We start from the raw sequence: 9,942 nt of genomic DNA, 5'->3' as shown, positions 1-9,942 counted from the left end.
GCTTCTACTCGGTTAAACTTGTAAATAAAAGTTGTGTTACATAATAACAATGAAAGAAAAAGAAAAATATTTATATAATTTAACTTAGTTCCTGGGACAATCATCAATTTGTCAATTACATCTAAAAATAATCTTAAATAAAATGTTTAAAGACTAGAAATCTTGACCAATAAGTACCTCCTTAGATCCTTTGATGACATTAACAGCATTCCTGAAAGCTAACTGCAGGCACACTTTATGCAAAACTGTATTTCCAACAAGCCACATATAAGTCATTCTCTATTTTCTCATTGACTACAAAATGAATTCCATGAGGCTTTATCATCACATGCAATTTATTCTTAGAAGGCTGTTGTTCTTAAGACTCATTTTTGAGTTCTTCTTAAGTACCAGGCAGAGGTCAAGGCCACAAACATTAAAAAAAAAAAAATTCTAACTTATCTGAGCAGGAAAAAGCTTATTAAAATGAAATTGGTTAGTGCCCAGAAATGTGGAGGGCTGAAAAACCAAGCTCAGAATATGAGCAAGAATGACCAGACACGGTGGTTCACCCCTGTAATTCCAGTATTTTGGGAGGCTGAGGTGGGTGGATCACCTGAGGTCAAGTGTTCGAGACCAGCCTGGCCAACATGGTAAAACCCCATCTCTGCTAGAAATACAAAAATTAGCTGGGCGTGGTGGCTGGTGCCTGTTATCCTAGCTACTCAGGAGGGTGAGGTAGGAGAATCACTTGAACCCAGGAGGCAGCGGTTGCAGTGAGTCAAGATCACGCCATTGCACTCCAGCCTGTGCAACAAAAGCAAAACTCCGTCTCAAAAACAAAACAAAACAGAATATGAGCAAGAGTAAAGAAATTAAGCAGCAAGGCTCTAAACTACTAGCAGAGCTCAAAACTGTTTCATCAAGGGCGACAATGTCACAGCTTCCCCTGATGACCTACAAACTGGTTGTTTCTGTTTCTATTGCAAGCTGCCGCTACTTCCTTGGTTCAATAGCTTATGATTCAATCGAGGGTATTTCAATAATTAGGTAAATGTACATTCATAGGGACAAAAAAAAAAGCTGGGAAAAAGAACATCTAGCATTTAGGGCTTCTGTAGTAGAAGACTGCTCTGCATCCCCTCAAGATACTTACAATGGGATAATCCCAAATGTACTAAGGGAGTTCAGGTACTAGCAAACAAAGGATGACAACTGTTTATGCCATCTTGTTTCTAGCACCTGAGATCAGTAAAGAATGATTTACAAATTAGCACATACCCAAAGGAGCATAAGAGAACCTTCCATTGCTATCCATCACAAACTTATTGTCACGTGTATAGCCTCATTTTTGTTTATTGCCTTGATTTCTCCAAATTTTTATTTGTTTAATGATAGATATACCTATACACTAACATCAATGCTACAAGAAAGGGAGTTTTGTTTCTACCCTTTGTTGATCTTTCAAGCTGACCACTTACACACGTATATCACCATGTAACTAAAACACACGATATTGACTGCCCTACAATTTCTGCCTCTACTCAACCATGTGGTTTCAGTGATAGTGATATGGTTTCGCTCTGTGTCCCCACCAAAATTTCATCTCGAATTGTCATCTCCACATGTCGAGGGAGGGACCTAGTGGGAGGTGATTGGATTATGGGAGTGGTTCCCCCCATGCTGTTCTCATGACAGTGAGTGAGTTCTCATGAGATCTGATCATCTAAAAATGTGCCACTTGCTCCTTGCTCTCTGTCTCCTGCTGCCATGTGAAATGTGCCTTTCTTCCTCTTCACTTTCTGCCATGATTGTAAATTTCCTGAGGCCTCCCCAGCCATGCTTTCTGCACAGCCAGTGGAACTGTGAGTCAATTAAACCTCTTTTCTTTGTAAGCTACCGAGTCTCAGGTAGTTCTTTACAGCAATGTGAAAATGGACTAATACAGATAGCTTCAGTCTAGTTAGTTTACATGATCTTCTCTCCTTACCCAATGAATTGCTCTGAACAGTTGAGCAAAGCTGGGCCAAGGAGAATTATTCCACAAGATTTGTTTTCTAATAGCATTGCAGGAGAAAAAGTATTTCATTTAAATCTGAGACTCAGGCTCCATCAATGATGACTGTGGATTCTGCCAAGTAGTCTGCAGTGAGACAGAAGCATGCATGCATGAGGTGTGCCCTCCAGAGAAATAGAAAAGTTCTGAGGGCATCCTAATCAATTTGTTCCTCCTCTTCTTACTATTTAGTTTTCAATCATTTCTTCAATTGCGTGTGATACTTTAATATTCTTTCAATGAATTATCCTTCTTGCCAAAATAAGTTCTATCAATTTTTTCTGTCCTTTGCAATTCAAATTGCTATGACTAACTTACATTGAATAACACCTCAAAGTACCTGATTCACTGAAGGATTTGAGGTGGAAAAATCTTACTTCCCCATCTTCCTTTTTCTGTTTGGTGCAAACCTTCTGTTCCACTCCCCAAGTGGGGGTAGTGTTGAGAAAATTCTTTCTCCTCCTCTATTCGAGCTTTTCAAGGAAAAGAAAAGTAATCTGGTAGGAACATGACAACTTGAACAAACAATGTAACTATGGTTATGTCTACTGTTCCTAGAAGCATAAAAAATATCTTTCTCTTTCTCTTGGGACCAGTATCTTGATTATACAGAAGAACAAAAGGCTCACTCTCCTCTTCCCATATTGGTAGTTGCACAGCAGATTTAAGGCCTATTTTTCTATTGTTTTCCAGTAATGAAATTTGTGAGGTTGGCTGACTTATGGCTCGTGGAATTGGTTTTGTGGAATTCTCTCTTCTAACAGGTGGGTCAAAAAGAAAAAAAAATGGTATGGTTAAAGAGAACGTCTCCAGTTGCATCTGATCGCAGCTGTATTCTCTAATTCAGATTTAAAAGGAAGTCTTTACGTGTATGAGGACATTAAACCCTCAGTGACAAAGTTTACACCATGATCCTCATTAAGTTCCCTGAATTTTATCTGTAAAGGATAACCTTTAAGACCAGGTGGAGAGAGGAGTAATTGGCATTTCTGGCAACACAACAATATTGAGAGAGTTATCTGTATTATCAGTTTAATATACACTCACAGATATTCAGGATTTTGTCCATGTTTTGATACTTTATTCTCCTTCAATAGGAATCCAATATTTTTTAATTAATGAGAAAAGAAAAACACTATCTTTTTTCCATGTTTTATGTGGAAGAAGCAAACATCATCTATTTTCTATCACTCATCACAGAGTCAACAAATGTTTTCTGATCAGCAACTGTAATGTCAGGTTCTGTGTGCAGTGCTAGGAAACAGATAAAACATATATGCCTGCCCTCAGTGTGTTTAGGACATAAGCTTATTAACTTTGTTCAGAGATTTTTCTCTTTTATCAGAGATTTCCCTTAGGATACAGGGAAAGTGTATTATACTCACTTGCTATAAAAATGTCTACTTATAATAGGGTATAAAACACTGAAATGTCTTTTATAATATGTTGATATTATAAAACATGAAAGAACACAGGCTGGGCATTTGGCTTACACCTTTTCTCTAGAATAAACTAGATAAGTGTCATTTCATGAGTTATTTAATCTTTGAAGGCTTTGATCTTCTCATCTATAAAATGGGAGTAGATTTTGTTGTACAGATTAAATAGACAAGCATATGTCCTGTAAATGTCAATGCAGACACTTATGCTAAGTGAGATCAGATGGAATGCTGGTGATTTTCCACTTAGGCCATGCATTCTATACAGTAATAGGATCCTCAAGTGAGTAAAAAATGGTTATTAAGAGTAAAAGCATCTTACTATTTTGATGGGTAAAGCACAAATACACATACAGTATATAAAAAGATACACACTTTATCTGTAGTACTCAAATTTCATAGGGGAGGTGATTGAGAAAATATTTAAAAAGACTGTTTGTTTAACTGGGTTGAGTTTAAAATGTTGAAAAACTGACCTAGGGAATAATCTAGTTTCTTCCTAACATACTTACAAGACCATGTGAACATTACTTCTTCTATGTTCCATTTCTAAAATTTGTGAGGGCATTTATTAGCAACCTTTCCTTTTCTACCTTATATGGTTGTGGTGAAGATCAAACGATAATGTGTATGCAAATATTTTGAAGTGTAAAAAGTCCTACATGTTATCAAACATCATTATTGATTTTCTCCCATGATGGGCAAAAATAAAATACAGTTCTTAAACAGAAAATATAATATCTCATGATTTGAGACAACTCACATTCCCAGCTCCTTTACAATTGGAGGTGATGCTGGTGACCATTTTGAAATGTGGTTCTTCTACTTGACAGATTTAGTTATATTACTAAATACACTTTAAAAGAAGGTTGCCTGTTTCTCAACTTAGGAAAATAGTGTAGGAAGCAATTCTCTTTTCCTTCAAGTACATCAGTTTTTACTTTTCAGGTCCTGTGTCCCAACCTACACTCCTCAAATCACACATATTATCCTTGAATGTCTAATGTTGTCTAAAATTGCTTGATCACATGGATAATTTTTCTCTATTTCAGTATTATGTTTACTTTAATCTAGTTTATTTATTCTCCGCTCAAAAAAAAGTATTGAAGACCAACTATTATTTGGACTCTGTCCTGGGCACTGGATCTACAATAGTGACTAGAATAGACAATATTCCTAGCCATATGATGCTAACAATGGTAAATTTTACATTAGTTAGGTGCTCCTGGAAAACAATAAAAATTAAGAAACCCTCTCATCATTTTGTGTTTTCAGATAGGCCTACTACTGCAAGGCACTATCATTCCCCGTATGAACTATATATATAAGATTCATGGATGCCCCATTGTTTACCTATGACAAGGCCAGACGCAGGCCCTCCAAATTTCCTTTCATTCATAAATATTAGCTGAACTGCTTGCATCCATGGACCAATCTGGACAAAATACCTGCTATTTTGGCTTGATCAAATTTTAGCTAGGCTTCTCTCCTTCTGCAAGACCCTGAACTTGAATCCACCTTCAGCCAGAGGCAGCCTACAACCCATCCTTTAGGACCTTTTTGAGAATAGCTGATCTTAGCATAAAAGAGTCTGTCATCTACTATCCTATCAAACAACTCTTTCATCCCACCCTCTGGCATCCACTGAGCCTTGTTTACTATTCCCTGTAAATGGAAAGCCCCTTTCTGACAAACCTTTCAGATCCTTCCAGTTCTCATGGTCAGAGTATTCCATTTAATGAAGTCATTCCCCCAATCTATTGCAGTAGTCTTCTTCTCTCCTATTGCAAATATATGTTTGAGTCTCTCCTACCGTCACTCTGGATTTTCTTTTAATTTGGCAGTGCTTATATACAAATGGATGTGAATTATTGTGCATAATACAATATTAAATTATCCAATATCTAATCCTGAGCATAAAGTTTATAATGTTCTTCTGAAACTTAAGGAAGTTTGTGAGTATCCTCTAGTTTTCATTTCTGCTCTCCATTTATAACAGGTAACACATGGGCATTTGACCTATATGGAAAACAACGTAAATTTATTTCAAGGACAATATTATCAGACTGTGATGGCTATTGGGAATCCAGTAGTAAGGGTTCCCACCCAAAATGCAGTCTCTGGAAGAAATGATGATCTGACTATTAATTTTTTTTTGGTTTGGTTGGTTGGTATAGACTCACATGTGATTCATTTATACCATCCTCTATAAACCTCAATCCAGGTTTTTCCCAAATTATTTTATTAATTTCCATGACACTGTCATCTCATTTTTCGATTACCATTGCCAAAACACGTGGACGCTTTCCCCTATTTGACCTATTAGTTGCCTGGAAGCCTACCAGTAAGAATAAATCTGTCTCTCTCTCTCTCTCTCACAGACACACACACACACACACACACACACATACACATACACACACACACACACACACATACACACACACACACACAGAATCATTCCTTCTAGATTATCTGGATTCTTAGTCTTTGTTTATATGTTGCCTTCGTGGTCTTGTTTTTTGCAAATATAATAGATAAATTTGGCCTATTTTTCTCGGGTCAGGTAAACCTGTTAAAGCCAAAAACAAAAACAACTTCTTGACCCACAACACATAACTTTTACTTCCAAGCAACTATGTTAAAGATCACTTTAATTATCATCAGCTACTATCAACTGTGTTATTCTTTTGACCTGAAATTTATAGCTGCTCAAAAACCTTAAGGTGGTAACATAAAATGAAAGCAAGTGCTGATTTTAAATATGGAAATTACAAATTGGGAATTTACAGCTGAAATCCACGTTTGTGCTGAAGCCAGTGGAAGTGAAGAAGGGAAATTGTTGTAGTAAAAATGAAAAAGTAAAGAAGGGTGATATTTTTACTCATTAGTAAAAGAGCTTTAGTTTGGGTCTGCTTCTTAGTTTTTCCTTTTCCAATTTTTTTCAAAGGAAATGAATGATTTAAATATGAAGCAACATTTACAAAGGAGACAGAATGCTTTCATGTTCTTTCAACTGTCTGTATGTAAAGATAACCAGGATTCAATAAGTTATAAATACAGATCAAATGAAGGACATGTGAAGAATACCTAGTACCCACTCTCTTTTCACTTAATAAACGTAAGGATTAATGTTTTACAACTTTTCACTGAAGTACACTTGGCTTTCCCTGAACCTCTCTCTCATTCTAAATATCACATTCCTTCAACATGAAAAATGGAATGACAGCAATAAAACTTTTTCTTTCTTTTTTTGTGATTTGCAAAACATCTGAGAATAGGGAGCCATCTGCTACTGTCATGTAAACAGGCCAAAATGACTGGGTAGAGGAGAACAAGTCTGGTATTACAGCCACATCTGCTGGCCCAGATCTCAGCCGGGCTCCTGCCCCAGAGGTGTGGAAGACCCAGGGACACCAATTCTGGCAAGTATTTTGGGGTCATGCTGGTGTTCTGCAGAACAAGGAACAGCTGCAAGGAGCAGAGGTGATACAGCAGGTTGTGAAATGATATATGGGCTTATGTCAGAGTCATTAAGCATTTCTGATAAATGGGCTGCAAATTAATTGCTGGTTCTACTAATTAATTTATTTGAGTTGCTGAAATCCTCAGGCCTGGCTGTGGTTGTTAGCAGAGCAGAGCGATACTTCAACACGGAGAGTATTTATTTTTCCCTCAAATAAAGAATTTGGATTTGGGCTTAGTTGTTGATGCAGCTTTCCAAAACATATCAACAATAAAAATATTAAATAATTCAAAAATACTTTTAATGCCTAGAAATATTTGAGTAGTGATTTTTGGAATCAGAAGAGTAATCAGAGTACACATTCTCATAAATTGCTATTGGATGGCCTGTGGAATGTACCGAATGCAAGCAACAGGCCTACACAGAATTATCATTGTTTTAATTGGCTAAGTATATACTTCTGCCCTAAAAGGGAAGCTGAGCCATCTAAATGGCAAGATTAGGAGAAAGTAGACATATGTGCCCATGTAATTCAGAAATAAATTCTGAGGTTTTCGTATATATATGCACACACAGATATGTGTATATATATATATATGCATTATGGATTTGAATATATGTGTGTATATATACATACGTACATACACATAACTTTTTTTCTTGTTTTAAATGAGAATTCTTTCTTAAGAGGAAAAAATATTTTTGTCCAATATGTGTCAATATATCTCAATGGATTGGTATTATATAAAGGAAATTTAAACTGTATATTTTATACACATAATCAGAAATCCCTAAATATACTTGTTTAAAAATAACTATAACTAAAAGCATATATTTTAAATATATCCTTTGAAATATACTTCAATTTTAAAATGTATTTGCTACATTAATTTAAATTTTAATAATTTAATTTAAAATATATTGTCTACATATTTTTCTTTTTAATTTGATTACACAAATAATATATGTACATTTTTGTGACAGGTCTCACTCTGTCACCAGACTGTAGTGCAGTGAAGCAATATAACTCAGTTTTTTCTTTAAAAATCGAGTGCAGAAATAGATTCAAAATTGAGAATCCCTGAACCCTCACCTTTTCATAGAGATAAGCATAGAGATAACCGTAAATTATAGAGATAACCATAAATTATGCTTTCATAGAGATAGCCATAAATTATTATGCTTTATTAAACATACGTGGAATTAAAATTTATATAGTTTTGGAATACGAGTATATTATGTATATGTATACAGCACACATATATTTATATGTGTTACATGCTATGCTTTTCCTTGTGCTCACTTAATAGTATTTTTAATCATCTTCCCATGTCCATTGATTTAGTTACCTTTTTAATGGCTTTAAAATACTTTTTTTATAGATGACCATAATATTTTAAATTAAAACCCATAAATGGACATTCAGATAATTTTCAACTTTTTATTGTCACAAACTATTTTTCAGCTTGGAGTGGTGGTCCACACCTGTAATCCCACCACTTTGGGAGGCCGAAGTGGGCAGATTGCTTGAACTCAGGAGTTCAAGACCAGACTAAGCAAACCTTGTCTCTTCAAAAAGTATAAAAATTAGCCGAACACAGTGGTGGACACCCGTAGTCCCAGTTACTTGGGAGGCTGAGGTGGGAGGATTGCTTGAGCCCAGGAGGCAAATGTTGTGGTTGCGATAAGCAGAGATCATGCCACTGCACTCTAGCTTGGGCAACAGAGCCAGACACTGTCTCAAAACAAAACAAAACAAAAAACAATTCTTTGTTGATAATCTTAATACGTAACATCTTATATATGTGTGTGCTATTTCTTTTAAATAAATTGCTAAAAGTAGAATGTTCTGCAAACATACATGCACATAGTTAATTTTAATATTCTGTCACCAACTGATATTGTTTTAACGAGTTAAAACAAAAAGGTGACAGAAGTGATAAAGTGAAAGCAGTTAAAATAGGAAGTAATGATATTTTGTAACAAAATATGCTTGCCATCCCTTTTTAATACTCTTAATTATGATTAACTTTCTCTGAATACTGACTTCCCTTTAAAGTGTATGTTAATTATTACCTATTGAATAGGAATCATCATTTGAAGGTGGATGTGTGGTACGTGCCATAGAGGATCAAAAGGGTGAGCTCAATGTAAAAGTTTTGAATAGTTATTAGGCACATAAATGCGAAGATTGGGAAAATTAAGATATCTTTCCAACACCTAAATTATTGACCATATTTGCATTGGATTTTAGCTAACAAGAAATAATTGGGTTTTTTTTGTTTGTTTTTTCTTTTTTGAGACGGAGTTTTGTTCTTGTCGCCCAGGCTGGAGTGCAATGGAGTGGTCTCAGTTCGCTGCAACCTCCGTCTCCCAGGTTCAAGCGATTCCCCTGCCTCAGCCTCTTGAGTATCTGGGATTACAGGTTTGGCTATGTTGGCCAGGCTGGTCTCGAACTATTGACCTCAAGTGATCTGCCAGCCTCGACCTCCCAAGTGCTGGGATTATAGGTGTGAATCACCATGCCTGGTCGAAATAAGTTATTTTAAACAAAAAGTAAATCTAGCTAAACTCATCTCAAAAAAAAAAAAAAAAACAACAACAACAACAAAAAAAAAAACTAAAAAAAGGCTACACTGGCAAATAATTAGTACTGAAATAAGGTTCACCTTGCAGGAGAACTAACAATTGTTCTGGAAGAAATGGATAGAAACAAAAGTATTTCTGCTTTATTTCTTAACCTGAGTAGTCGGTCCATCACTCTCTTATATGTGCATGGAAATATACCTTTCTGGCTGTTCTGAACTTTGCATAAAATATTTAAAGTGTTCAGAAGTCATATCAATAAAATGTAGCTTATTGAAATGTTTTGTAATTATGTGTAAGATCGGTACAACCAGACACGTATTTAAGGACATGTATTTGACAGAGGAAAAGGACATCTTTCTGTCTAGTACATCTATGTTCTTTGTCCTTGTTTTGTTCTCCATAGCTAGTTACTG

This window comes from Homo sapiens, chromosome 11 (assembly GCF_000001405.40).
Source record: "Homo sapiens chromosome 11, GRCh38.p14 Primary Assembly".
Lineage (NCBI taxonomy): Eukaryota > Metazoa > Chordata > Mammalia > Primates > Hominidae > Homo > Homo sapiens.
The sequence above is the reverse complement of the archived record's forward strand: the minus strand, read 5'-3'. Positions refer to the sequence as shown.